At 60.4% G+C, this 27755-nt stretch overlaps 1 protein-coding gene across 3 annotated transcripts in view; it reads left to right on the top strand.

Annotated features, from left to right (window-relative positions):
* The window catches only part of CLCN7 (chloride voltage-gated channel 7), a 30094-nt gene extending 2465 nt beyond the window's left edge, over positions 1–27629 (top strand). Inside the window, exons 1-25 of one of the 3 annotated variants that reach the window (XM_011522354.2) lie at positions 801–940; positions 7226–7297; positions 10890–10961; positions 11094–11159; positions 11616–11748; positions 12037–12146; positions 13377–13457; positions 14808–14870; positions 15227–15310; positions 16358–16451; positions 16769–16833; positions 17314–17430; positions 18099–18153; positions 18670–18730; positions 19671–19809; positions 20848–20941; positions 21898–22067; positions 23237–23288; positions 23471–23598; positions 23798–23883; positions 24080–24209; positions 24850–24909; positions 24996–25172; positions 25478–25558; positions 25847–27629. In XM_011522354.2, the coding sequence (XP_011520656.1) occupies positions 7259–7297; positions 10890–10961; positions 11094–11159; positions 11616–11748; positions 12037–12146; positions 13377–13457; positions 14808–14870; positions 15227–15310; positions 16358–16451; positions 16769–16833; positions 17314–17430; positions 18099–18153; positions 18670–18730; positions 19671–19809; positions 20848–20941; positions 21898–22067; positions 23237–23288; positions 23471–23598; positions 23798–23883; positions 24080–24209; positions 24850–24909; positions 24996–25172; positions 25478–25558; positions 25847–25933 (2244 nt within the window). In that variant the 5' untranslated portion in view covers positions 801–940; positions 7226–7258 and the 3' untranslated portion in view covers positions 25934–27629. Of the gene's footprint in view, positions 1–800; positions 941–7225; positions 7298–10889; positions 10962–11093; positions 11160–11615; positions 11749–12036; positions 12147–13376; positions 13458–14807; positions 14871–15226; positions 15311–16357; positions 16452–16768; positions 16834–17313; positions 17431–18098; positions 18154–18669; positions 18731–19670; positions 19810–20847; positions 20942–21897; positions 22068–23236; positions 23289–23470; positions 23599–23797; positions 23884–24079; positions 24210–24849; positions 24910–24995; positions 25173–25477; positions 25559–25846 lie in introns of those variants that run through there. The other 2 variants (NM_001287.6, NM_001114331.3) reach the window with 2 other exon arrangements.

The following is a 27755-nucleotide window of genomic DNA, read 5'->3' as shown; positions in this document are numbered from 1 at the left end:
TCTGTTGATCTCTTAACCTTAGAAAGTATTCCCGGCTGTGCACGGTGGCTCATGCCTGTAATCCCAGCACTTTGGGAGGCCGAGGCAGGTGGATCACCTGAGGTCAGGAGTTCGAGACCAGCCTGGCCAACATGGTGAAACCCCATGTCTACTAAAAATAGAAAAATTAGCCGAGTATAGTGGTGAGCGCCTGTAATCCTAGCTAGTCAGGAGGCTGAGGCAGGAGAATCGCTTGAACCCAGGAGGCAGAGGTTGCACTGAGCCGAGATCACGCCATTGCCTGGGCAACAAGAACAAAACTCCATCTCAAAAATAAAAATAAAAAAACTATTCCCTTAAAAGTCATTGTAAGCTTATTTGTTTGTTTGCATTTAATAACAGCGGATACTCTGCTTACAAGCAATTTAAAAAATAGTTTATCGTGCACTTGCTCTGTGGCTGCCTGGGACGCAGGCGCATAAAGCTGCTTCCTTCCTGCTGGAGACAGGCCCAGTGCCCTGTGCGGATGGTCTGCAGGGCCCCTGGGGCAGGAGCAGTCACAAGGCTTGGGCTTGAAGAGCACAAGATCTTCAGGCAGGCGGACGGGGGGAAAGGACAGAGGGAGTGTGTGTTTGGGATGCGCTGTGGAGCCTGGAGGTCAGCCCTGCTGCGCACATGAACAGGCTTTGAATTTGGCTCATCTCTAGGGGAGCCCATGGGAAGCTAGGACCCCATTCCTGAAGGGCCCCAGCCTTCCCCTGCAGACAGACTGGAGAGGCGGAGTCTAGAGGCCAAGACACCACCTCTTAGGCCAGGCGTTTGTGCTCTGAGCATCGGACTCGCCGATGGCCTCCTGCAAGGCCTGTAGCCTCCCTGTTGCCCAGTTTTCCCGTCTGCGAAAAAGTTAACGCATGCATAGCGCTGAGCACGGTGCCTGTCACAAACTACGCTCTGAAGAAACGTGAGTCGTGCCCGGTCGTGTTAAAACCAGCAACACAAGAGGGATTCGTGTTCGTTGTGACTTTCCTGTCCAACTTCCTGAGTAGCTACTGGATTTCTTGGTGCTGCTTTTCTGGGGGAGGGTCTGCTCTGACTGGTGGGCACAGCTCACAGTTAGGCTCAGGCGCACCCCAGTGTGGCCACAGACGGGGTACTGTAAGCTGCCCTTGGGTTCAAGGCCTCCAGAGCTGTTTTGAGCTAAAATATCAACCCAGGCCATCCCCTGCTGACGGGACTGTTCCAGTGAACATGAGAACTGGTCCTAGCTGCCTCCAGGCTCTTTAGGGTTTGTTGCAGGATTTTCAGGTTGGCTGGTGGTGTCGTTGCCACCTCAGCGTGGGCACAGCTGGCCAAACACTATGAGGTGGCTGCCCTGGGCAGGGCAGACTGTGGAGTGGCTTGTTGGAGGCTGGGTGCCCGCTGAAAGCCCAGGCCCTTCAGAGCTGCCTGTGGGTTGCTGTTCCTGTTCTCAGGCCGGTCTTGCTTTGTGTGGTGTAGTGGTGAATTGACCAAGCCAGTCACTGCTCATCTGGTGGTGTTGGGACAGGGCGAGGGTGAGGTCAGCCAGCCCTGGCCGTGTGTGGGCGGCAGGAAGCAGAACTCCTTGAGAACTGAGAGGGAAAGCGGCTGGAGCCAGAAACACTTGGGTCTCAGGGGGCAGTGAGGGGAGGTGGGTATTTGCAGGACATCCCTGGGAACTCATGTTGGGACACTCCACATAAGACCTTGGCAGGGCAGGGGTCTGGGTTAGTGTGGGACTGTGTCCTGCCTGGGCACCCGGAGCCACAGACCGCAGCCTGAGAAAGAACTGTGGGCGCAGCAAGGCTGCGGGGGAGGGTCTGGGGTCGTCGCCAGTGGCCCCTTGAGCTCTGCTGTACTTGAGGAAGTGCCCCTTGGTTCTTTTCTGGCCTCCAGGAAGTCCTCTGCCAGCCTGGGAGGGTTCCCCTGCTGTCCCCTGCCCTTCCCTGCCCTCCAGCATTGCTGTTCAGTGTCTGTCTTGCTTTAGGTCTCTGCCTTAACGCCATGGGGACACTGCATGGACAGCAAAGGCCTCTCCTTGGTCTCTGTGGCCTTTGTGTGTCACCTTGTTTCCTTTGACTGTAACCCCCATCCCCCCGCGGGGCAGCTGCTGTATCCTCTGTGCCTAGCGTCTAGCCTGGTCCTGGCAGAGGCCTGCTGAATGTTAGGACGCAACACAGGCCGAGCAGAACAGCAAATGGTCTTTAATCCTGCTTTAAGTTTTAAAAAAAACTGTGGTAAAGAACACATACCATAAATTTACCATTTTGAGCCAGGCATGGTGGTGCACGCCTCTCATACCAGCTACTTGAGAGGCCAAGGCGGAAGGATTATTTGAGCCCAGGACTTAGAGACCAGCCTGGGCAACATAGCAAGACCTTGTTTCTAAAAAACATTTTGTTTAATGACCGTTTAATCATCCGTGAGTGCAGTCAGTAGGGTTGAGCACGCTCTTAGTGTTACACAACCCATTCCTTGCCAAACTGAAACTGCACCCATTCAACGCTCTCCCTTCCTCCTGCTGCCCAGCCCCCTCGTTGCCATCTGCCTCAGGGGACCTGACGGCTCCAGGGCCCTCTTGCGAGTGGACCTGCGGGAGCTGTCTTTTTCTGACTGGCTTATTTCACGGGGCACAGTGTCCTCCGGCCCGTCGTGCTGCAGCACGGGTCGGTGGTCATTCCTCTTTATGGCTGAATTATTCCATTGCGGGGAGAGGCTGCATTTCCTTGACTCACTCATCCATCGGCACAGCAGGTGCTTCCGCATTTTGGTCATTGTGAACGGTGCTGCTGTGAACATGGCGTGCAAGTGGGACTTTCAGACGCTGCTTTTTTATGTTTGTTTTTGGTTTTTGGTTTTTTGTTTATTTTTGTTTTTGTTTTTGACGGAGTCTCCCTCTGTCGCCCAGGCTGAAGGGCAGTGGTGTGATCTCAGCTTACCACGACCTCTGCCTATTGGGTTCAAGTGATTCTCCTGCCTCAGCCTCCTGAGTAGCTGGGATTACAGGCGCCCACCACCATGCCCGGCTAATTTTTGTATTTTTAGGAGAGTTGGGGTTTCGCCACATTGGTCAGGCTGGTCTTGAACTCCTGACCTCAAGTGATCAGCCCGCCTCAGCCTCCCAAAGTGCTGGGATGACAGACGTGAGCCACCTCCCCTGACCCTGAGTTTTTTTATGTATTCTGAATATTAATCCCTTATCAGATATTAATTCCTTATCACATTTGCAAATATTTTCTCGTTTCATAGGTTACCTTTTGCTCTGTTGTTTTCTTTGATGTGTAGAAGTTTTAAAGTTTGATGTAGTTCCCCTCTATACATTATTTTGACTTTTATTTTGTTTTATTTTATTTATTTATTTGAGACAGGGTCTTGCTCTGTTGCCCAGGCTGGAATACAGTGGCAGGATCTCGGCTCACTGCAACCTCCACCTCCCGGGTTCAAGCAGTTCTCCTGCCTTAGCCTCCCGAGTAGCTGGGATTACAGGTGTGCACCACCATGCCCGGCTAATTTTTTTTTTTTTTTTTCGTTTTTTTTAAGTAGAGACGGGGTTGCTTCATGTTGGCCAGGCTGGTCTCGAACTCCTGACCTCGGGTGATCTGCCCGCCTTGGCCTCCGAAAGCGCTGGGATTACAGGCGTGAGCCACTGTGCCCAGCCCTTTTTTGACTTTTAAATCACTCTGGATTCACAGGAAGCAGCAAAGGTAGCACAGGGGGCTTGTGTACCCTTCACCGAGTTTCCCCCCAATGTTTACCTTTCCGTAACAGCGCAGCCCCAAAACCAAGAGAGTGTCGGTGCAATGCGTGTAGATCCGCGTAAGCACCAGGAAGGGGGTGCAGGCTATTTTCAGACCCATCTTTCTAGTCCCACCCACTCCCAACCCTGATGACCTCGCCTCCCGTCCGGCCCGAGTCTCGCCTCTCGGGAGTGTTGGCTCACGTGTTCCTGAGCCTGTCTGTTTTTAGTTAGTGTCCGGCGCTTGGGACCGTGTAGGTTGCCGTGTGTGGCAGGAGTTTGAGGAACAGCATCTAGTGTTTAATTTATAAGAGCTTGCATTTAAAAAAGAAAGTAACCGCACGGAATGCATTGCTGAACTTGAAGTAAACGTCGTGTTCTTCCATTACGAAAGCCACCTTCTCAAAGTCCTGGCAGAGTTAAGGAAAGAGATGCTGGGAAGGCAAGGCGCCGGAGCCCCATCCTTTCACTCCGGGCAGGGGCAGCTGATGCCCTGCTGGGGGGCAACCCCTCACCCCTCACCCCTCTCGGATCTGCCAAGGCGGCGGCGGTGGGGGTGGCCCGCTGGTCACATACTGCACCGGCAGCCTTCACCTTGGCCTGAATGCATGTGCGGCTCTGCCTGCTGCTGTGGGACAGTGCTGTCGTGGTGTAGACGGTGGCCCTCCTCAAGGCCTCCCAGGCCTGGCGCCCAGGACATGTGACTGTGGCTGTTTTCGTTTTGTTTGGGTTTTTTTTTTTAATTTTAGAGATAGGGTCTTGCCGTGTTGCCCAGGCTGGAGCGCAGTGGTGCAACCATAGCTCACTGTAGCCTCGACTTCCCAGGCTCAAGCGATCCTCTTGCCTCAGCCTCCTGAGTAGTTTGGGCCACAGGTACACGCCACCATGCCTTGCTGATTTTGATTTTTTGTAGAGACAGGGTCTCACTACGTTGTCCAGGTTGGCTTTGAACTCCTGGGCTCAAGCGATCCTCCTGCCTGAGCCTCCCAAAGTGCTGGGATTACAGGCGTGAGCCACCACGTCCGGCCAGAATGATCCGTTATTTCCAGCAAGGAATAGCCTGAGAAGCACGGCAGGCCTTGAGTGGCGTTAGAGAGAAGTGCTGACATCTTGAGTGATGGAGAGGGTGGCCCTCTGGGCAGGGTGTGTCCCACAGGGTGCCTGTTTGGACGTGGGGTCCTTCCTCATGGTGAAATGGGTCTTTTGGGTTCCGTGGTCTCTGTTTGGGGCATCGGGGCACCTGTCCACCTGGGAGGTGGGGGTCAGAGGCCCAGCGCTGGTCCCAGGGCTGTTTTCTGGTGGTGAGACCTGGAGTCCAGGGGCTTTGATGTGAGTGTGAGCAAGAGGGAGTGGGCAGCTGGCCAGGCCACTGCTTCCATCATGCCTGGACCGTGGCACCTTCCTCCTCCCACCGTCAGCCCGTGTGGCAGGAGACTCAAGCTGTGAGTTTCGCCTGTGACTGAGGGCTCAGGGAGAGCCACTGGCATGTGGCAAGGCTGGGGGAAGAGGAGGGGCAGGCGCCCTGTGACTCAGGGTTGTGTCCAGCAGGACCTGTGCACTCTAGCCCCTCCCACACTCTCCCCTGGGCGTGGAGATGCCACGGCAGACACCTGCGAGTCTGTCTGTCTGTCTGTCTGGCCTCTGCTCCTGGCTTTTGATGGGGATGGCCTGAGAGTGCTCTTTGCCTGGGGAGAGGAGGAGGCTCTGACTGGTGTCTGCCAAGGGCCAGTGGCACGTGCCCAGGTTCCTTCCCCTGCCAGGGCCACTTACCGGGTCATCAACACGGGGGGTGTACAGCAAGGGCGACGGTGGCTGGTAACAGGACGATGGTTGGGGAAGGGGTCCCTGGAGGGCAGTGGGCTGGAAGGTCAGGTTCTTTTTTTTTTTTTTTTTTTTTTTTTTTTTTTGAGACAGAGTCTTGCTGTTACCTAGGCTGGAGTGCAGTGGTGCGATCTCAGCTCACTGCAGACTCCACCTCCCGGCTTCAAGCGATTCTCCCGCCTTAGCCTCCCAAGTAGCCCGCCTACTTTTTGTATTTTTAGTAGAGATGGGGTTTCGCCATGTTGGCCCAGCTGGTCTCGAACTCCTGGCCTCAAGTGATTTGCCCGCCTCAGCCTCTGAAAGTGCTGGGATTACAGGCATGAGCCACTGTACCCCGCCGGGAAGGTCTGGTTCTGAAGGCAGTTTCTGGGATGGCGGTTTGGGGAGCCCGTCTCCTTCAGGGGTGAGCACTCCAGAGAAAGCAGGACCCCCACCCCTGGCTCGCAGTGACCTCAGATCCCAAACCTTCCTTCTCTGCTTCTGTGTCCTTGCCTGTGTGTGGTAATCGTGATCCCCGTGGATAGGTGGAGGTTGAGGGAAAACTGGGCCCCAGTGCAGGCCGTTCCTGCACGTCTCCCCGTCCCCACCTCGGCCCTGTGGGCTCCTGGCGCCATCACCTGCCGTTCTATCACCAAGAAGCACTTCCAGGCCCTGCTGAAACCTGGTGCGGGAGGCCGAGCCTGAGGAAGGTGGAGGGAGAGATGGGGGGATGAGGAGGGGACGGCGTTGGGGGCCGGGAGGGCTGCTCCCAGGGAAGGCGGGCGGCAGCCTCGTTGGTCTTCCCACGGCCGGTACCAGCCGCTGGACTCCTCCGCCAACACTTTCCTGACAGGCGCACGGGCTCTCTGATGCAGATGGCGGGCGCCCTGCGCATGCGGTCCCTCCACCTGGAAGGCAGCCCTTCTTCCCTTCATGTCCCCAGATGTTGCTAAAGATTCAGGAGATAGTGGAAATTGGAGTCGTCTCCAAAGGATCTCTTTGGGGAAAGGAGGCTGAGGTCTTGGCTCCTCCTAGCCTGGCCTCAGCGCCTTGGCTCTAGTAAGGAGCCGGAGACTGGGGTGGGAGCTCCGTAAGTCACATCTGCACCACGCCACCCAGGGCCCGCTGCCCTGCCCCTGCCCTGAGCTGGGGCGGCCGCAAAGCCTTAGGTGGCTGAGACCCCACCCAGCTCTGCCTGACAGCTGGGCGTCCTGTGGGGAGGGCAGCGTGAACACTGTGGAGCCGTTTGTGTCTCAAGACCCAGAGAGGCTGCAGTGGAGGTGACTCTGTGGAGGTGGCAGGTGGCTGAGCAGGGCCTCGGGAGCAGGGTTGGGCAGGATGGCCCAGGGTGCTGTGGCGGGCACTGCATTGGGGGCGGCGTGTTGTCCAGCCCTTCTTTCCTGGTGGGTGGCAGGTGCCTCGCTTTCAGTCTAGAGCAGGGAGCTTGCGCCCTGGACTCGGGCTGGACGTGTCGCTGACAGGCCGAGGGGCAGCCGGATCAGTTCTGCTTCCAGGGCCCAGGGAGGCCCGTCCCAGCCCTGCTGCCCCCACCCAGCAGGCAGGCCTGGCCTAGCCCATTCCTGAGCTCCCGGGCAGGGTCAGGCGAGGCCAGGGTGCGGCGGCGGGAGTGAGAATCCACGGAGCAGAGCGTGCGACGCCTGAGCGCCCTCATGATTTCTCTTCTGCTTTTAGTCACCACGTTCTGCGCTTTTCCGAGTCGGACATATGAGCAGCGTGGAGCTGGATGATGAACTTTTGGACCCGGTGAGTTGGGGGTGTTCCCCGTCCTCCCGCAGAGCTAGCTGCATCTTAGCAGAGGGTGACAGGGATGGGCACGGGCCGAGCGGCAGGGAGATAGTGGGGCCCCAGGGCCGGGGTTCAGGGAAGATTTCCTTGGGGGGACATGGTCCCTGACGCCAAGTGAGCAGAGGCAGCTGGGCAGAAGTGCTCTCAGACGGAGGAGTGCAGGGCGCAGGAAGCCGGTCAGGACAGCAGTGACAGCATGGGCAGCGAGGGGGCTGGACCTGGCTTTGGGACAGGGCAAGGACAGGGATCTTGGGGGGGCAGTGAGGAGCCCCAGGAGAGTGAGAGGGGGCCGGATGCCTCTGACTTCAGAGGGCAGGGGTTTAGATGTTCCCGTGCCAGTGGCTGCCCTGGGAGTCCTGAGCTCAGCGGCAGCGTGCTCGTCTTCCTTCCCCTCGGGGGCATCTCCCGCCGGCCTCGGTTTTTCCCCCAGCCGCTGGTGAGGCCGGGAGTCCTCTGCTGCCGCTGGCCGTTCACTCATCGTCTCTGGGTAGATGTCTGTGCGGGACTCCTGTTGAGATGATCCTGATGTTGGCAACACCCCGGGCGTCCTCCTTCTCCCCATCAGGCCCCACCTGGCTCTGCCCTGGGCCACGTCAGAGGCTGAGGCATCTCACAGTCCACCTGTCCGGGTGCTCTTCGGCCTTGCGTCCGTTTGAGCTCTGCCGCAGTCGCTCCCGAGGCCGGCGCCGTGCTCAGATGCCGTCCTGTACAGCCAGCAGCGCCTCTTCCGGGGCTGCCCTTCTGATACGTTTGTGCTGCCTCTGGAGCCACAAGGCCTTCGGAAGATCTGTTTCGTGGCCGTGGGCGCCTTCGGCACTGCCTTTTTGGACTTCAAAGCCTTTGCTCTGGTGTCAGCTTTGGGAGGGGCAGGAGTTGGGAGAGAAGGGAAAAAGCCAGCACGTGAGATTCAGCAATCAGTCCTCTCCTGTCTCAACCCTGGAGCGGGTGCCTGGCCGGCCACACGCGTGTTGGTTATGCTCATTTTTAAACTGGGTTTGTTGTCTTTATAATTGAGCTGCAGGAGTTCTTTATACATAGATGCAAATCTCTCATCCAATACATGATTTATAGAAGTTTTCTCCCGTTCAGTGGGTTTTCTGTTCACTTTCTCAGTGGTGTCTTTTGTTGCTCAAATTTATTTAATTAAAAAAGTTTTGGCCAAGGGAGGTGATTCGTGCCTGTAATCCTAGTACTTTGGGAAGCAGATGGATTCATTGAGCTCAGGAGTTCAAGATCAGCCTGATCAACATGGTGAAACCCTGTCTCTACAAAAAATATAAATATTAGCTGGGCCTGGTGATAGGCACCAGTAGTCCCAGCTACTTGGGAGGCTGAGGTTGGAGGATCACTTGAGCCCAGGAGGTGGAGGTTTCAGTGAGCTGAGATGGTGCCACTGCACTTCAGCCTGGGTGACAGAGTGAGATCCTGCCTCAAATTTTTTTTTTTTTTTCTGGGCAGGTGTGGTGGTTCACACCTGTAATCCCAACACTTTGGGAAACCAAGGCTGCAGCCCAGGATTTGGAGATCAGCCTAGACAACACAGTGAGACCCTGTCTCTACAAAAAACAAAAACAAAAACGAAAATTAGCCAGGTGTGGTGGTGTGCGCCTGTGGTCCCAGCTACTCAGGACGCTGAGGCAGGTGGATTGATCGAACCCAGGAGGTTGAGGCTGCAGTGAGCCATGATCACACCATTGTACTTCAGCCTGCGTGACAGACGGGACCCTGTCTAAAAAAATTAATTATTACTATTCTTTGAGATGAGGTCTCACTGTGTGGCCCAGGCTGAACTCCATCTCTCAGGCTCAAGCAATCCTCCCGTTTCAGCTTCTTCCTGAGGAGCTGGGACCACAGGTGCATCACACCCCGCACAGGTTGTATTGCTGAGGTTCAGCTAATCTGTTTTTTCTTGTGTTGCTTGTACTTTTGGTGTCAAATCTAAGAAACCATTGCCTCACCCAAGAGTATGACGACTGACCCGTTTTTTCCTAAGAATTTTACAGTTTTAGGTCTTTCATCCCTTTTGAGTTAATTTTTGGATGTGGTGTGAGGTAAGGGTCCAACGTCATACCCTCCCTCTCTCTCTCTCTTTTTTTGAGACAGGGTCTCACTGTCACCCAGGCTGGAGTGCAGTGGTGCAATCATGGTTCACTGCAGCCTCTGCCTCCTGTCTGTCTCCCAAGTAGCTGGGACTCAGGCGCATGTCACCATACTCAGCTAATATTTTGTAGAGATGGAGTCTTACTATGTTGCCCAGGCTGATCACAAACTCCTGGCCTCAAGCAGTCCTTCTGCCTCTGCCTCCCAGAGTGCTGGGATTATAGCTGTCAGCCATTGCGCCCGGCCCAGCTTCATTTTTGCATGTGGAAATCCAGTTGTACCAGCACCATTTGTTGAAAACACTACCTTTCTCTGTTGAAATGTTTTGACACTGTTGTGGGAAATCAATTGATCGTACATGTTTTGGATTTCTTTCTGGACTCTCTCAATTCTCTTCCATTCTTTTGTGGCCATCTTCATGCCAGTACCATGCCTGGTTTTTTTTTTTTTTTTTTTTTTGGCTTTTTTTTAAGAGTTGGGGTCTCACTGTGTTGCCCAGGCTGGGTGGATCACTTGAGGCCAAGAGTTTGAGACCAGCCTGGCCAACATGGTGAAACCCCGTCTCTACTAAAGATACAAAAATTAGCCAGGCGTGGTGGTGCACACCTGTAATCCCAGCTACTTGGGAGGCTGAGGCAGGAGAATGGCTTTAACCTGGAAGGCGGAGGTTGCAGTGAGTTGAGATCGCGTCACTGCACTCTAGCCTGGGCAAAAAGAGTGACTGTATCTCAAAAAAAAAAAAAAAAAAAAAAAAAAAAAGACAGATGAGGGTTTTACTCTGTTGCCCAGGCTGGTCTTGAACTCCTGGCTTCAGTTGATCCTCTTGCCTCTGCCTCCCAGAGTGCTGGGATTACAGGTGTGAGCCACCGCACCCGGCCTCATGGATTGATTTTTGGATGTTAAACTAACTTGTATTCCTAGGCTGAATTCACCTTGCTCCTGGCATTGCTGGAATCACTTTGCTTGTGTCTTACCAAAGATCTTTGCATCCGTGGTTGTAGGGGTGTTGGTCTGTAGTTCTCTTTTTTTTTTTTTTCTTTGAGACGGAGTCTTGCTCTGTCACCCAGGCTGGAGTGCAACGGCGCAATCTCGGCTCACTGCAACCTCTGCATCCCGGGTTCAAGCGATTCTCCTGCCTCAGCCTCCTGAGTAGCTGGGATTACAGGCGCCCACCACCACGCCCAGCTAATTTTTGTATTTTTAGTAGCGACAGGGTTTCATCTTGTTGTCCAGGCTGGTCTCGAACTCCTGACCGCAGCTGGTCCACTTGCCTCGGCCTCCCAAAGTGCTGGGATTGTAGGTGTCAGCCACCGCGCCCCATGTGCAGTTCTCTTGCTGTGTCCTTGTCCTTGGTGTCGGGATGATAATGGCCTCGTGTGTGAGCTGAGAGGGGCCTCTCTCCTTGTGGCCTTGTCAACTGTGCTTCTCTCTTTGCCTTTTTCTGCCACAGGATATGGACCCTCCACATCCCTTCCCCAAGGAGATCCCACACAACGAGAAGCTCCTGTCCCTCAAGTATGAGGTGGGCGTCCTTCTGTCCCCCTGACCCTGAGACCCGGCCTCTGCCCCCTGCCAGCCCACTCCCGGTCCCCTGTGCCCGCACCCAGAGCGTGGGTTCGGTGCTGAGTGCTGCCCTTGCTGTCCCGGCCTGCAGAGCTTGGACTATGACAACAGTGAGAACCAGCTGTTCCTGGAGGAGGAGCGGCGGATCAATCACACGGTGAGCTGGACGCCGCTCCCTGCAGGGCCCCACGGTGCGGGGCCTGGTGCCGGCCGGGCCTGGGGCTGCTCTTCTGCCGGGGTGAGGTGACGCACCTCCTCCCTCCTCCTCTGACTCCGCCTCTGAGGCCTGTGGTTCGTCTGGTTTCTAGAGACAGTGGGAGGGTCACGGTCACCGTAACCAAGAAGGCTGCTCTTACGGCCGCCAGATGCGGTGCCCAGCATAACAACCGCTGGCTGTGAAGTTGTTGGGAATTCACCCACCTCCCCGAGTCACCCTCGGGCCCCGGGTGCGCCTCAGATGTTGGCCAGAAACTGTCCTTTGTGGGACTCAGCGCACCGTGCACACTGGGCCCTTCATAATCCCGGGGCCTGCAGGCGGTCTGGGCGGTCCTGCTGCTGCCAGAGTGACTGCGCCAGGGCCCTGCCTGACCCTCGCCCTGACCGCGCCCTGCAGGCCTTCCGGACGGTGGAGATCAAGCGCTGGGTCATCTGCGCCCTCATTGGGATCCTCACGGGCCTCGTGGCCTGCTTCATTGACATCGTGGTGGAAAACCTGGCTGGCCTCAAGTACAGGGTCATCAAGGGCAGTATCCTTCCCAGTGCGGCCGCTGCAGCTTGGGAGGGGGGCGTGGCCTGGGCCGAGTCCCGGGCAGAAGTCCTGAGCCCAGCGTGTTCCAGTGCAGGTGGAGGCGGCCCGGCCAGGCTGGCTGTGTCCCTGTCATGGTTGGGCCGTGAGACGTCTCTGGGATGTCCAGTGAACATCATGGCTCCACCCAGCAGGGTGGCATCTGCCAGGCTGGTCTGTGGGGCAGGGCTGAGGTCTGGGCTGGGTGGTCATGACGGGGAAGCAGCCAGCCCTCCTTGATGAGCCCCAGATATCGACAAGTTCACAGAGAAGGGCGGACTGTCCTTCTCCCTGTTGCTGTGGGCCACGCTGAACGCCGCCTTCGTGCTCGTGGGCTCTGTGATTGTGGCTTTCATAGAGGTGGGTGGCAGGATGCCGCAGCTATGGCGGACCCCATGAAGGATTGGGGGTCTTGGTGAATGGGCGGGAACCCCTGCAGCTCACCCACCCCCACCATCACATTGGCTGACAACCCGGGCACTTTTAGAATCACGTGGTCCAGACTCACAACCTCAGGAGGAGCAGACACACCAGGGCCTCTTCACCCCCAGAGCCCTGGGGTGCTGCTCCTGACCTACCAGCACAGGCCTGGGCACCCTCACCCCACTCCGCCCCTCCTTCCATCTCCTCACTCTGCCCTCCCCTCCTTCCATCTCCACCTCCGCCTCCACCACGTCCTTGATCTGTGTCTGGGCTGGGAAGAGTGAGAGCAGCTACCCCAACGACATGAGACCCTTCCCTGGGGCCCCAACGTGTGTGCTGCTCTTCCCTTCCCTGAGGCCCCGACGTGTGTGCTGAGCTCCCCTTCCCTGGGGCCCCGAAGTGTGTGCTGCTCTCCCCTTCCCTGAGGCCCCGACGTGTGTGCTGCTCTCCCCTTCCCTGAGGCCCCGACATGTGTGCTGAGCTCCCCTTCCCTGGGGCCCCGACGTGTGTGCTGAGCTCCCCTTCCCTGAGGCCCCGACGTGTGTGCCGCTCTCCCCTTCCCTGGGGCCCCGAAGTGTGTGCTGAGCTCCCCTTCCCTGGGGCCCCGAAGTGTGTGCTGAGCTCCCCTTCCCTGAGGCCCCGACATGTGTGCTGAGCTCCCCTTCCCTGAGGCCCCGACGTGTGTGCCGCTCTCCCCTTCCCTGGGGCCCCGAAGTGTGTGCTGAGCTCCCCTTCCCTGGGGCCCCGAAGTGTGTGCTGAGCTCCCCTTCCCTGAGGCCCCGACATGTGTGCTGCTCTCCCCTTCCCTGGGGCCCCGAAGTGTGTGCTGAGCTCCCCTTCCCTGAGGCCCCGACATGTGTGCTGCTCTCCCCTTCCCTGAGGCCCCGACGCGTGTGCTGCTCTCCCCTTCCCTGATGCCCCGACGTGTGTGCTGAGCTCCCCTTCCCTGGGGCCCCGACGTGTGCGCTGCTCTCCCCTTCCCTGGGGCCCTGACGTGTGTGCTGCTCTTCCCTTCCCTGGGGCCCCGACGTTTGTGTGCTGAGCTCCCCTTCCCTGAGGCCCCGACGTGTCTGCTGCTCTCCTCAGCTCCTGGGGCTCCTGGGGCTGAGGGGCTGCATCTGTCTCAGCCTGGCCGTGACCCACTCAGCCGTGCTTCCCCTCTTTCAGCCGGTGGCTGCTGGCAGCGGAATCCCCCAGATCAAGTGCTTCCTCAACGGGGTGAAGATCCCCCACGTGGTGCGGCTCAAGGTGAGGGTGCGGTGGCCCTGGCTGGGCAGGGTGGGCGCCCGCTCTTTGCTGGTTCAGGAGCAGCTCTCTTGGCTGCCTGCCTTCCAGAACTGGCCTCAGCCACCCTGTGTACTGGTGGCACTGTGTGCAGATGGGCTGGCTGGGTGTGAAGGGGTCACCTTTTTTTCTGAAAGTGGTAACAACTGGTATTTGCACATATTAAATTACGTAAGAAATGAGTAGTCATACAGAAATGCTTGCGTGGTGCATGTGTGACACAGCTGTGCGACGCGTCTGTGACTGTGGGCTGCGTGGTGGTGACTGATTCACCGTGGAAGCTGTCGTGGTAGTGGGCGTGTAGCAGTTTCCCGCTTTCAGTTTGCCTCATGGTCATTTACACTTGGTGTTATCAGAGCATCTGGTTCTGGAGGTGCTGGGAGTCCTGACCCAGTTCCGCTGTGGTTGCTTCTGTCTGTGCCGCCATCGTTCCTTAGCCTGAGACTTGCCGCAGCCCCGTCCCGTCTGAGGATGGGTGGGCAGCATGGCCGCTGCCCCCTGGGGGTGCTTCCGGGGCCTGGTCCCCGTGGCCAAGGAGCGGGACCAGTGTGTCCCCTCTGGCGAAAGCTCCCAGGTGACCTTGGGGTGCCCCTGCCCTGTGGTGGGAGATCAGGTTTACTGGAGCAGCTGGGAATGGCGACCCGCCTGTCACCCGCGCCAGGCTGGCCTGAACCTTCTTGGATGTTGCTCTATAACTTTTGTTGGCTGAGGGTTGAGTTTGCTCGGCATCTTTAACATACAGTCCTCCCCCACACACTCAGCGCCCTTGTGTTTAGGGTCTGCGCCCTTGTGGGTTCTGCCCTGGGGCAGGGAGGCTGATAAACACCTTACACACCTTCTCAGGTGGAGAGGATGAGGCCCCTGGGGGCGGGGAGCAGCCGAAGGGAGAGGGGGCATCGTGGAGCCGCAGGTGACCAGCCTTCCAGTGCCAGGGGTGTATGAGGAGCCTTGCTAGGCGGGGCTAGCGGGAACACCTCCCCTGTGCTGGCCACGCTGGCGGAGGCAGGTGTGCCTGTAGGATGCGGTGGGCGGCCCAGCTTTGCCTCAGGAAGGAAGGAAACGAAAGAACCCCTTGCCTGCTCAGTGCTGAGGCCACAGAGGGCAGGTCCCCCGAGTGAGTGCGGGGGACGCTTGGCTGCTGTTTAGCTCCACTGTGGCCATGGGGAGACCCAGCCTGGGGGTGCTGGCCCCCTCCCGGAGGCCCCGTGTCCCAGCCACTCTGCCTGATCGGGGCTGTGTGTGCTGTTTTACGGCTCAGGTCCAAAGACAGCGCCTGCCTTTTCATCAGAGGCCATGCGTCTCCCTGTGTTTCAGACGTTGGTGATCAAAGTGTCCGGTGTGATCCTGTCCGTGGTCGGGGGCCTGGCCGTGGGAAAGGTAACAAAGTGCACATGGCCACTCCAGCTGGAGCCTGAGGCCGCCGGGCCCGCGAGGGCCGCCACGCCCATGTGTGTCTCTGAGCACCGGTCCTTCTGGTCTCCAGGAAGGGCCGCGTCACGCGTGTCTCTGAGCACCGGTCCTTCTGGTCTCCAGGAAGGGCCGCGTCACGCGTGTCTCTGAGCACCGGTCCTTCTGGTCTCCAGGAAGGGCCGCGTCACGCGTGTCTCTGAGCATCGGTCCTTCTGGTCTCCAGGAAGGGCCGCGTCACGCGTGTCTCTGAGCATCGGTCCTTCTGGTCTCCAGGAAGGGCCGCGTCACGCGTGTCTCTGAGCACCGGTCCTTCTGGTCTCCAGGAAGGGCCGATGATCCACTCAGGTTCAGTGATTGCCGCCGGGATCTCTCAGGGAAGGTCAACGTCACTGAAACGAGATTTCAAGGTGAGTTGAAATCTTGTGTGGGTGGGCTCCAGATGCCATGGGCACGGGCACGGGCACCACTCAGGGAGATGGGCTTCCCTCAGCACCCCCAGGCCGAGAGCCCCAGCCCCATCTGAGGACAGCCTGGCGGGTGGCTCCCAGAGCCAGCGGGCACAGTCCCTGCCCGGCAAGGCCTCCCTACGGCCCGCTGCTTCCCTCCTTGGGTCCCCTGCCACACGTGCATCAGTGTTTCCCGTGGGAGGGTCTGTGGCTCCAAGCGGCTTCTCAGAGGAGTGCAGAACCTGAGACCAAGTGTGCCCACCTGTTGTTTATTTGTCAAGACACACTTTGGAACACTTTTTCCCCAAAAAAGTCCCCAGCATGTTGATGGGGATTGAGCTGCATTTGTGTGTGATTGTATTTTTTTTTTTTTTTTGAGATGGAGTCTCTCTGTTGCCCAGGCTGGAGTGCAGTGGTACAATCTCAGCTCACTGCAGCCTCCACCTCCCAGGTTCAAGCAATTCTCCTGCCTCAGCATCCCGAGTAGCTGGGATTATAGGTGCCCGCCACCACGCCTGGCTAAGTTTTTTGTATTTTTAGTAGAGATGGGGTTTTGCCATGTTGGCCGGGCTGGTCTCAAACTCCCGACCTCAGGTGATCCGCCTGCCTCGGCCTCCCAAAGTGCTGGGATGACAGGCGTGAGGCACCGCGCCGGCCATGTGTGAATTTAGAGGCAGGCAGCGTCCCGCAGGACAAAGAACAGCAAGGCTGGGTTTCCATCCGTGCGCTTTTCGTTAGAGGGTAGAGGTTTTTGGAATCTTGCGTGCGCTGGAAAGTGGAGCTCCTGGCTGGGTGTTTGCGTGTTTCCCTGGGCTGCCGGTGGTGGTGCTGACCCTGCTGTCTCTTGCCGTGGTCTGCAGCACGGTGCTCTTCAGGAATCAGAGCTGCTGACTCGGTTGTCCTGAAAGCCCCTTCCCCTGCACAGCCCCTGTCCTGGCAGTTGCTCTCCCTTTCTGAGAGCCGTGCCCTCAAGGAACCTGCCCCGACCCTGGTCTGTCCCTGTTGCAGATCTTCGAGTACTTCCGCAGAGACACAGAGAAGCGGGACTTCGTCTCCGCAGGGGCTGCGGCCGGAGTGTCAGCGGCGTTTGGAGCCCCCGTGGGTGAGGAGGGCCGCACCGGGTCCAATGCTTTGCCCTCGCCCTGTGTGTTGGAAGGAACGGTCTCCTCTCTGTAGGCCCAGTGCCCGCTGAGGGTGGCAGAGGCTTGGAGTCACGGCCGGGGCATTTGGAAGCGGCCGGCAGTGTACTTGGGTCCAGCCCTCAGACCTCCCTCAGGGTCCCTCTCTGTGTGGCTGGGGCCCACCCCATTAGCTTCTTTCTGACGTGGTCTGGGTTCCCTGGAGCCTGGGGGAGGGAGTTGGTGGTGGGCATGGTGCCCTGTGTCCAGCTGGCACCCGAGCCGGCCGCCTGCCTTCCAGGTGGGGTCCTGTTCAGCTTGGAGGAGGGTGCGTCCTTCTGGAACCAGTTCCTGACCTGGAGGATCGTAAGTTCCTGCTGATGGCTGCCTCCTGATCAGGGTGCATGCTGCGCTCTCATTTCCCACCATGGGGTCCACCTTGGGGCCACCCATCGAGCTGCGGCTGGAGCTGGACCCCCTGTGGGTCTGTCAGGCCTTGGTCCTGCCCAAAGCAGCGGTCCTGCCTTTGCTGCCCAGTTCGCCCTTGGTCCTGGGCACCATTGCCAGCCCTGGGTGGCTCCCGGGTAGGGGATCAAACAGCCGGGAACCCAGCCCTGCCCCACCTTCCCCTCTTGCTCTCCACTGGCAAGTCCAGAGAGGGCTGGGCCGCTCCTTGCCCGCACAGTGCGCCCACCCCTGGCTCCAGCCCCTTCCCTTCTGCCTTGGGCGGGGTCTGCAGACTCCTGGCCCCGGGGCTGACAGGAGGGGCGATGGTCCCTGCTGGTCCGTGAGCCCTGGGCTGGGAGCGTGGCTCTGAGGGCGCTGGTTTCCTGCCCTCTGCCGCAGTTCTTTGCTTCCATGATCTCCACGTTCACCCTGAATTTTGTTCTGAGCATTTACCACGGGAACATGTGGGACCTGTCCAGCCCAGGCCTCATCAACTTCGGAAGGTTTGACTCGGAGGTAACCTGCCCCATCGCCCACCTCGCCCACCTCGTATCCTGGTCCAGGACCCTGTTTGCTTAAGGCCCAGGTTGAGAATTTGGTCCTTTAGAAAACTCTGGTTGATAGCTGTGGAGCTGAGAGCTCTTGTGTAAGCTCCAGGGCCCCGAGGGGCTGCAGGAAGACACCCCAAGCTGCCCCTCAGGTCAGGGCACCATGTGACCAGCAGGGCACCTGGGATGTCACACAGTTGCTGCGTGCATGGGGCCTCCCACGGCCTGGGGGCACGTGCAGCAGCCGCTCTCGGGGCAGGTGGGCTCAGGCCTAGTTTCCAGGGTAGCCTGGGGCCTGGGCTGGGGAGACTCTCCGTGCCATCGATAGGGCGGCTCTGTGCGCAGGAAACTGGGGGACCACGGGCTATGTTCCCAGTGCTTGGGGCCCTCCCCGCCCCGGGTGCTGAGGGTGGCAGGGTCTCTGAGAGCCTCGCTGGCCACCCCGCCAGGCAGGGGCCAGGCCTGCTCAGAACACCCAGTGTGTTTCTCCCCTGTGGACTTCCGCAGCCTGCGTGGAAGGGCGGGAAGGCTCTCTGTGGGGACAGCTCTCTTAAGATGGTGGTCCTTGAGTTTCAGCAGAAAGGAGCTGTGGGCCTTTTCCCTCACATCCTCTGCCTTCTCCCTCTCTCTGCACAGAAAATGGCCTACACGATCCACGAGATCCCGGTCTTCATCGCCATGGGCGTGGTGGGTAAGGGCTTCTCCCAGCACCGCAGGGACGGCCTGCGGGCCTGGCTCAGCTGTGACGTGGCCATAGAGACGAGGACTGGAGGCTGTGGCTCCCTGGAGCCTGCCCTCATCCCAGGGCCACCCGGGGGCCTCCAGATTCTTCCATGGGCAGTACACGTGGGGAGTGGGGAGCCCAAAGCTTCGCTTCTGTGGCTTCCCGTTGTTTATCTCTGTTGGCAAAAACCACAGGGCTGCAGGGATGGATGGGATTTCCTGTAAGAGATAGAATTGCTCCCACCAGTATTTATTGCTCTGCTGGACACCTTTGCCCTGGAAGGAAGGCAGAGCCTTTGAGAAACAGCTCCCCCAGCCCTCAGGGTGTGATGATGTGGAGGAAGCATCTTACCAGGACCCCCTAGCCCCCTGCCGTCCCCTTCCCTCTGCAAACCCTCCAGCTTCTCCTGCCATCTGGGAGCCGGCGGGCGGAGGCCCGCACTTTTCCTCCGGTGTCGCTGACTGGCCTTTCCCCTGTTCGCAGGCGGTGTGCTTGGAGCAGTGTTCAATGCCTTGAACTACTGGCTGACCATGTTTCGAATCAGGTGAGGAGAAACCGCATTGCATATCGCGTTGGCAGGCGTGGCCACACAGGCCCTTTGAAAGCGGACGTGGTGGAATGGGGTTTACACTCCTAGGCCACAGCCGAAAGAAAGGCTGTGTATGCAGCGTCCTTCCTGATGGTTTCCCCGGTGGAGCTGGTCAGAGATGTGTCCCGGGGCCTGGAGGGTGACGGACTAGCCCAAGGCTAGGAGTGCGAGGGCTCCTGGAGGACGGCCCCTGGGTAGGAAGTGAGGCCCTGCGTGGGATCGGGCCTGGGCGAGGCATGCCCAACCTTCACCGCCTGGCTCTGCCTGGTAGCAACCGCAGCTGTCCTGGGACACCGGGGCCCCCCGGCTTCTTCCTTCTTGGTCTGTGCTGATTTCAATACTGTCGGGTACAGCCGGGGCACGGGTAGCGCCACTTCCCACACATCTGGAGAAGTTGCTGCCGAGGAGTCTTTACCCCAGGGAAGAGGACGACCCCAGGACATTTGGGTGCCTGATTGATGATTAAACACAGGCCTGGCCGGGCGCGGTGCCTCACGACTATAATCCCAGCACTTTGGGAGGCCGAGGCGGGTGGATCACCTGAGGTCGGGAGTTCTAGACCAGCTTGACCAACATGGAGAAACCCCGTCTCTACTAAAAAATTCAAAAAAAAATTAGCCAGATGTAGAGCCGGGCGCCTGTAATCCCAGCTACTCGGGAGGCTGAGGCAAGACAATTGCTTGAACCTGGGAGGTGGAGGTTGCAGTGAGCCAAGATCGCAGCACTGCACTCCAGCCTGGGCAACAAGAGCAAAACTCCGTCTCAAAAACAAAAACAAACAAACAAAAAGCACCACGGGCCCAGTGTCCTCCATCAGGGACTCGAGTTGCCATGGGGCCTGCGGAGGGGCCGCGCTGCCGTCCTGCCTGCCATGCAGCCTGATTCTTGGTTCCAGGTACATCCACCGGCCCTGCCTGCAGGTGATTGAGGCCGTGCTGGTGGCCGCCGTCACGGCCACAGTTGCCTTCGTGCTGATCTACTCGTCGCGGGATTGCCAGCCCCTGCAGGGGGGCTCCATGTCCTACCCGCTGCAGGTGGGAGGCTGGGCCCGGGCGGGGTCCAGCAGGCAGGGCAGCCACAGGGCGGCCTCCAGGAGGCTCGCTTAGGCTACGGGAGGAGGGCTGCCCACCCCGCCGAGTTCCAGAAGCGCATGGGCTGGCGTGTCTCAAAGAGGGTTAGTCCTGTCCACCCAGATCTCAGAGGAGGCCAGGTGTCTGCTGAGGTGCCAGGGGAATGGGCGGTGGTATGGGGGCCAGAGGCTCCCCCCAGTCCTCTTCCCAGAATGGCAGCCTGACGGGGCGAGCCTCAGGCGCCCTATGGGGGCACCATAGATGTGGACCCAGGAGAAATGCAAACCTCCGTCCACAACTGGACCTGTGCCTGGCGCTCACGGCTCACCGCCGTCCGTGCGTCCATCTGCACTGTGACACGGTTGCCCTGGAAAGCACTACGCTCAGAGGAACCACACGTGAGGTCACGCGACGTAGCCCCATTAACATGAAACATCCAGAACAGGGAGAGCCTAGAGGCCCAGCAGACCAGTGGGTGCCACGGCGGGAGTGGGCAGGATGGGACGGGTCAGGTGTGAACCGTTAGAGACGTGGGAGGCCCGGGGCCATGGGGTTGACCAGCCTTGCTACACTCTGCTCCAGCCCCGTGGATAACACCCCCTGTGCTGCTGGAGCCCAGGAGGCTCTGGGCCTGTGGCACCGGGGCGCCAACAGCCTCTTCTAGGAGCTCATGTGAGCGCCTGGGCCCACCTTCCCCGGCACCAGGGATGGACAGCGTCTCAGCCCATGGTCCTGCTAACCCACCCCCCAGGGCTAGACACGGCCCCCTGCTGGGCCTAGGCCGTGTGTGTCCTCCTTTCCCTCCGTGACCATGGCTTGGGCCTTGTGTGTCCTCCTTGCCCTCTGTGACCGTGGCCCTGACCCAATGGCAGGATCGTGTGGTTTCGCGCCTGATGCTGGCCAGGCACAGGGTACACGGCCTCTCACGGCGACACCAGGTTTGTGCCTGCAGCCCACCAGCTCATCTCCCCTCCCAACGTGTGCTCTCTCCCGACCCCACAGCTCTTTTGTGCAGATGGCGAGTACAACTCCATGGCTGCGGCCTTCTTCAACACCCCGGAGAAGAGCGTGGTGAGCCTCTTCCACGACCCGCCAGGTGTGTGTGGGCAGTGCCGCTGGGCAGGCCCTGGGATCAGGGCCTGGGTGATGCCTTCTGGCTGAGTGTCCCCTGTGGGCTGAGGTTGCAGCCCTGGGCTGGGGGGTCATCCCTAGCATGGATCATAGCAGGGACTCACTCCTGTAATCCCAGCACTTGGAGAGACCAAGGCAGGAGGATCACTTGAGCCTAGGAGGTTAAGACCAGCCTGGGCAACTTAGCGAGACTCTGTCTTTGCAAAAAAGCAACATTATCTGGCTACGGTAGTACACCCACAGTCCCAGGTACTTGGGAGGCTGGGCCGGGAGGATTGCTTGAGCCCAGAAGGTTGAGGCCACAATGAGCTGTGATTACATCACTGCATACCAGCCTGGGTGACACAGCGAGACCCTCTCTCAAAAAACAAAAGAAAACCCAGCCTGGTGACTCCCACACCAAGACCACGGCCTGGCCTCGCTCGACCACAAGTGTTTCACGGAAGCGCAGACCGCGACCTTGGAGTGCCGGCCTTTCACCTCTGCAGTTGTGTCCCTGGCGGTCTCACCCGCCCTGCACGCAGTACAGTGCTGCCTGCTCCAGGAAAGGAACCCCAGGCTGTGGGGGGCACCCTCTTCCCGGAGCCAGGCTGCGAGCTGCACCACGGTGCACACCCATGGAGTGTAGACCTGGCGCTGCTAGACCCAGCTGGGCCGCCCCGCTGGACGCGGCTCCTGCTTCTGCTGGCATCAGGGCCCCGCAGAGCCTCTTCCCCTGTGGCCTCCCCATGGGATCCTTTTAGCCTTTCTGCTTCCCAGGGAGGCTGAGAACAGGGAGCCTTCTGGGGACCGCTGGGCTCGGGAGCTCAGGTTGCTGGGCTCCTGGAAGGTGACTGTGAGGCCCGAGACTGGGCAGCGGGGCAGGGCAGTCCTGCGGAGGCGGGAGTCGTGGAGGCCCCGTCAGCCCCTCTTCTCTCCTAGGCTCCTACAACCCCCTGACCCTCGGCCTGTTCACGCTGGTCTACTTCTTCCTGGCCTGCTGGACCTACGGGCTCACGGTGTCTGCCGGGGTCTTCATCCCGTCCCTGCTCATCGGGGCTGCCTGGGGCCGGCTCTTTGGGATCTCCCTGTCCTACCTCACGGGGGCGGCGGTGAGTGGGGCCGGAGGGGAGGCTGTGGGGCCCTGCAGCTGAGCCAGGTCTTGCGGCATCGCGGGCCGGAGCAGAAGTCCCAGGGCAGGACAAAAGTGTCGCACCTCACGTGGTTCACGGGCCGTGGGCGTTGTCCTCGCGTGGTTCACGGGCCGTGGGCGTTGTCCTGCTGTGGTGGCAGCGTGTACTGTGGCAGCGCAGCCCATGTGTGGAGTCTGGACCAGGCGAAGGTAGGGGGCGGAGGCTCGTGTCCTTATTCTTGAGAATGTGATGAAAAGCAGAGGTGATTGTGGGCTGCTGCAGAGCTGTTTCTAGACTCCATGGGGTGGATGTCCGGCCAGGGCTGCTCTCTGTGAGGCCGGGGGCCAGAGCGGCATACACTGCCCTCCAGACCTCAGCCCCCGCAGGCCTTCCTTCTCTGCCTGCCTCTGCTGGGACTGGGTTCTCTTATGTGTCTTCTGTTTCTCATTTCAGTCGCTTAAATAAGACTGAAAACCTGTAAGAGGCCCTGGCAGGAAGCCCCCGGCCATGCTTCTCATCCCCGGCAGGAAGCGCCCACTCCTGCTCCCCAGGCCCGTGTGCTCTGCCCATCTCCCTCCGCACAAGGGTTTGGTTTGGTTTTTAAAATTGAAACATGATTCAAATACCGTAAAACTCATCGTTTTAAAGAGGGCAGTTCAGCGGCGTTTCTCACGTTCACGAGGCAGTGCGGCCGTCACTACCACTTCTAGAATGTTCCGTCATCCCAGAATGGAAACCCTGTGCCCACCGACCCTCGTGCCCCGCTTTCTGCAGCCTCCATGCCTGGGTTCTGTGGCCCAGCCTGATGTTCCCGGGGCTCTCTGTGTCGTGTGTGCCGGGGTTTCACTCCTCATGCTGGACGGTGCTCCCTAGTTGGCCTGGGCTGCTGCGTGGTGACTGTGCCCTCTGCATCCTCCATGCCTGCCACTCCCCTGTTGCTCGGGTGCTGAGCGCCTGGTTCAGGCCAAGGATGCAGCCTCCGCAGCAGGGTGTACTGTGCTAGGTTGTTCTGTGTGTATGTACGCGGCCACGAGGTTTGTTCCTGGCTGTGGGGCTGCTGGGCCTGGGCAGGGCCTCCTCCGTCTGTGTATCTTGGTGGGTTTGGGCCTGCCACCACACTGACACCTCCTCCGTGTCACCTCCCACAGATCTGGGCGGACCCCGGCAAATACGCCCTGATGGGAGCTGCTGCCCAGCTGGGTATGTCCCAGCTCTTGCCCGATGGGTGGGGAGCTCCACGGGGTCTGGAGGGGGCCATGGCTGTCCTTGCGGGGCTAGGGTCTGGGAGCAGGTGGATGGGATGGGTGCTGCAGAGAAGGCAGTGGCCACGTGACCCTGAGCCAGGAGGGTGGACGTGCTGGGGTTCATGATGGCTCCCGCAGGCGGGATTGTGCGGATGACACTGAGCCTGACCGTCATCATGATGGAGGCCACCAGCAACGTGACCTACGGCTTCCCCATCATGCTGGTGCTCATGACCGCCAAGATCGTGGGCGACGTCTTCATTGAGGTGCGCCAGGGCCTCGAAGCCTCACCCTGAGAGCGTGGGTGCTGCCATAGGGGAGGGGCCCCTGTGAGCCTCCAAACAGCCGGTCCCGGGGGGTAGGCTCAGGGTTTCTGGGGGCGGCCTCTGGGCTCCCAGGGGTAGGCTCGGGGCTCCAGGGGTGGGTGTGGACTCCTCAAGCCCTGTGTTCCCGCCCCGCCCGCAGGGCCTGTACGACATGCACATTCAGCTGCAGAGTGTGCCCTTCCTGCACTGGGAGGCCCCGGTCACCTCACACTCACTCACTGCCAGGTACAGCGCCCAGGACACCTGTGGGTGGGGAGGGTGTCCAGCGGCCTCTTGTTGCACAGGGGCAGGGTGCACGGCTTGCGGGCTCCAGGCAGCCCCGCGTTTCCTGTCCAGCGGCTTCACACCTCACCAGCCCGCAGAGGTAACTGTGGGAGTTGGTGGCGTGTGACGGGCATGTGTGGCCGGGCTCCTCCGGCAGGGAGGTGATGAGCACACCAGTGACCTGCCTGAGGCGGCGTGAGAAGGTCGGCGTCATTGTGGACGTGCTGAGCGACACGGCGTCCAATCACAACGGCTTCCCCGTGGTGGAGCATGCCGATGACACCCAGGTACCGGGCACCCCATAGACAGGGTCCTGCCTATGTGACCTCTGTCGAGTCCATTGGTGGGAAGCACACGGCAAGGTTTGCAGGATGGGGAAGCTGCACGTTTGGGTGCACTGGCAGTTCCAGGAGTGCCGGAAGCTGAGTGTGCAGCCATGGAGGGCTGTGTGGACGCTGAGGCTGGTGGGGGGGGCTGCGGCCTGGCAGGGTCTTGGGGTTGGCACCCAGGCTGGGCTGAGAGCCGTGGCACTGGGGGCCGTGACTTTGTCAGGAGGCCCTGACAGGACACACAGCTCGGCCACTGCTGTGTGTCTTTTAGACGTGGACACTGGGTGTTTGGAGGTTGGTTTTTATTGGGACCCAGTGGGGCTGCATCTGCCCTGCAGCAAAGCCACCATCCCTGGGCCCTTGGCTCTCTGCTGTGCGCGGTCAGGCCCCGCTACCCTGTCGCCGATCCTTGGGTCCCGTGGCATTGTGCGTGTGGGATGCCATGGCGAGGCTGGTGTGAGCAGGTAGCCACCGACACGGGGCCCATGCCCAGATGGGAAATCTGGCCGGAACAGGGTCAGAGCGGGGCCCGACACAGCATTCCAGCGCAGCCTCCCACCCTCGGGCCCGTGGCCCTGACCGCGGGCCTGTCTTGCAGCCTGCCCGGCTCCAGGGCCTGATCCTGCGCTCCCAGCTCATCGTTCTCCTAAAGCACAAGGTGCGTGCCAGGCTCCGGGCCATTGGGCGGGTGGGGGCCCCGGGGGTGCTGCCTGGGTGCCTGACACAGGGCTCTGCCGCCCGCAGGTGTTTGTGGAGCGGTCCAACCTGGGCCTGGTACAGCGGCGCCTGAGGCTGAAGGACTTCCGAGACGCCTACCCGCGCTTCCCACCCATCCAGTCCATCCACGTGTCCCAGGACGAGCGGGAGTGCACCATGGACCTCTCCGAGTTCATGAACCCCTCCCCCTACACGGTGCCCCAGGCATGTGCAGGGCATGGGCATGGGCGTGGGGCCTGGGACTGAACAGCAGGGGGTGGGGTCCAGAGCCTCGGGGAGGGGCAGCCGGGGGGGGCCACAGCGGAGAGGACTCGGTGACTCTGTCTCCTGTGAAGGGCCTGGCAGGCTTTAGAGCTGAAGTCAAGGGGCTGAGGGGGCTGGCCAGACGGGCGTGGGGGCTCAGGACGTGCCTGGACGCCGTGGTGGGGGGTGCAGGGAGCCAGCTTGGGTGAGGGTCCCGCCTGCCTCTGCTGTGTGGGCGGGCACTGACAGCTGTGCCCCTGCTGCAGGAGGCGTCGCTCCCACGGGTGTTCAAGCTGTTCCGGGCCCTGGGCCTGCGGCACCTGGTGGTGGTGGACAACCGCAATCAGGTGAGCGGGGGCGGTGGGGGTGCAGGCATGCCGTGCAGGGCTCCCCTCTGCCTCCTGCCCGTGCTTACTCTCAGCTCCCGGCAGGGGACACGGAAGCACAGGACCCAGCACCGAGTCGGCCCATGCCCCATGGCTGCACCCCTCCCCAGCCCCGTGCTCAGCTCGGGGGCTGTGCTGAAGCCCCCAGGGCCCCCTGCCTGTGCTGCCCCAGCCACACACAAGGCAGGGAGCTCCACAGGCAGGCGGGAGCCGACCCGTGTGTCACTGTGGCCTGGACTTGTCCTGCAGGTTGTCGGGTTGGTGACCAGGAAGGACCTCGCCAGGTACCGCCTGGGAAAGAGAGGCTTGGAGGAGCTCTCGCTGGCCCAGACGTGAGGCCCAGCCCTGCCCATAATGGGCACTGGCGCTGGCACCCCGGCCCTTCTGCATTTCCTCCCGGAGTCACTGGTTTCTCGGCCCAAACCATGCTCCCCAGCAGTGGCAATGGCGAGCACCCTGCAGCTGGGCGGGCAGGCGGCAGGCGCGGAACTGACCCTCTCGCGGGACTGACCCTGTTGTGGGCAGTGGTCTCCCCCCTTGGCGCCTCCTTGCGCAGGCCCAGCCTCCACTCTCCTCGTCTAGGTTTCTTTACCTCCAGGGATCAGCTGTGTGTGTGTGACCTCCCTACCGGGCTATCGGCCTCTTGGGAGCCAGCGGCAGGGCCGGCACCTGCGTGCCTGTGCCCGTGTGCGTGAGACAGAGCCCTTGCCCCTGCTGCTGCCCCGAGGGCTGCCCTGCCCTGGAAGGGCCCCTCTGCCTCCACACCAGTGGAGTCTTCGAGACTTGGGAGCTGCTTGGCCTCATTTTCAGCCATGAGCAGACGGCCTGTGGTCCCTGGGCCTGAGGCACGGACTCGTAGCACCAGGGTTTGGAGGCTGCGACCGCCCCGGAGAGCAGCTTCACACTGGCGCCACAGAGGAGCCCCACGTGCACTCCCCGGCCTGCATCCGGCTTGGGTACACAGGCCCAGAGGACTGGGGTGACTCACGGGCCCTGTGCTGTGATGTTGAGAGCTGAGAAAAACCTCCAAGGCCCTGAGCCCCATGCCCAGCCCTGCCTTGGTCCCCCAACCCCCAGAGCTTGGAGTCTGGGCCCCACACCCAGCCCTGCCTTGGTCCCTGAGCCTCAGAGCGTGGAATTGCTGCCCTGTGGACACTGGCTGGGAAGGCAGGTCTTCCCCTAGCACATGGGGACCCCGGCCTCGAGGGTGACCTCCCTACCCCGCCCCTGCCAGCCACCAAGCGCAGGTGCAGCGGGGGCCAGACTCCTGCCGGCCTCAGAGGACACCTGGCCCAGCACAGGCAGCTAGAAGGGCCGGTGGGCACCGGGGCCGGGAAGCCCCCACCTCACCACCTGAGGGCCCCTGGGAGGCTCCTCTGGCCTGGCTGGGCTGGGTCTGGGGCCGCCACAGGCCCCTCACGGGGCGGCAGAGGCAACTTCAGTGTCCCTGTTAGAGCAACACGGGTCCCTCCGTGGGGGGCTGGGTGCGGCCCCCTGCCGTGTATTTCCTCCCCAGGGAGTGGGGCCTCCCCGGGAGCTGACGCCACCACCCTGCTTAGCCCTCACAGGGCCCCAAGGTGTCCGAGTGTGTTGGGTCTGAACGCGAAATAAAGAAATCCTCTCAGCCCGCCTTTGCCAGCGTCGTCCCTCCCACCCCACCCAGACCACGTCCAACAGCCTGGGACTTTCGGGACCCTGGGGTCGGGGCACCGTGTGGAGTGAGAAAGGCGTGAAAGACAGCGGCTGCGGCCACCCAGGGCACCAGCCACATCCTCTTCCTCGTCCCCGCCCCTCAGCCTCCCTCCTCTGGCTCCTGGCTGGTGGGTCTGGGGGCAAGGCAGAGGCGCTCCAGGTGGAGGGGGGCGGGCCGGGGTGCCCACGCTGGGGTGACGCAAGAAGAAAACTCCCGGGCCTCAGAGTCGGCGCCGGAAACCTAGGTCTGGGTTTCCCTCGTGGTGGTTGTGTACTGAGGACCTGGAAGTGATCATATTTTGGATATATTCGGTTAAATAAAATCAGCGGTTAGGATTCACATCGCTGCTTCTTGCCTTTTAATGGGGCTGCTGAGCAAGATGGGTTCCCGTGGAGCCCGGCTGTGCCCCTCACCCCGATGGCGCTGCCCAGGCCTCGGGCTCCGCTCGGACGTGGGCCTGGCTGT

This window comes from Homo sapiens, chromosome 16 (assembly GCF_000001405.40).
Source record: "Homo sapiens chromosome 16, GRCh38.p14 Primary Assembly".
NCBI lineage: Eukaryota > Metazoa > Chordata > Mammalia > Primates > Hominidae > Homo > Homo sapiens.
This window is presented reverse-complemented; position numbering and strand designations above follow the sequence as displayed.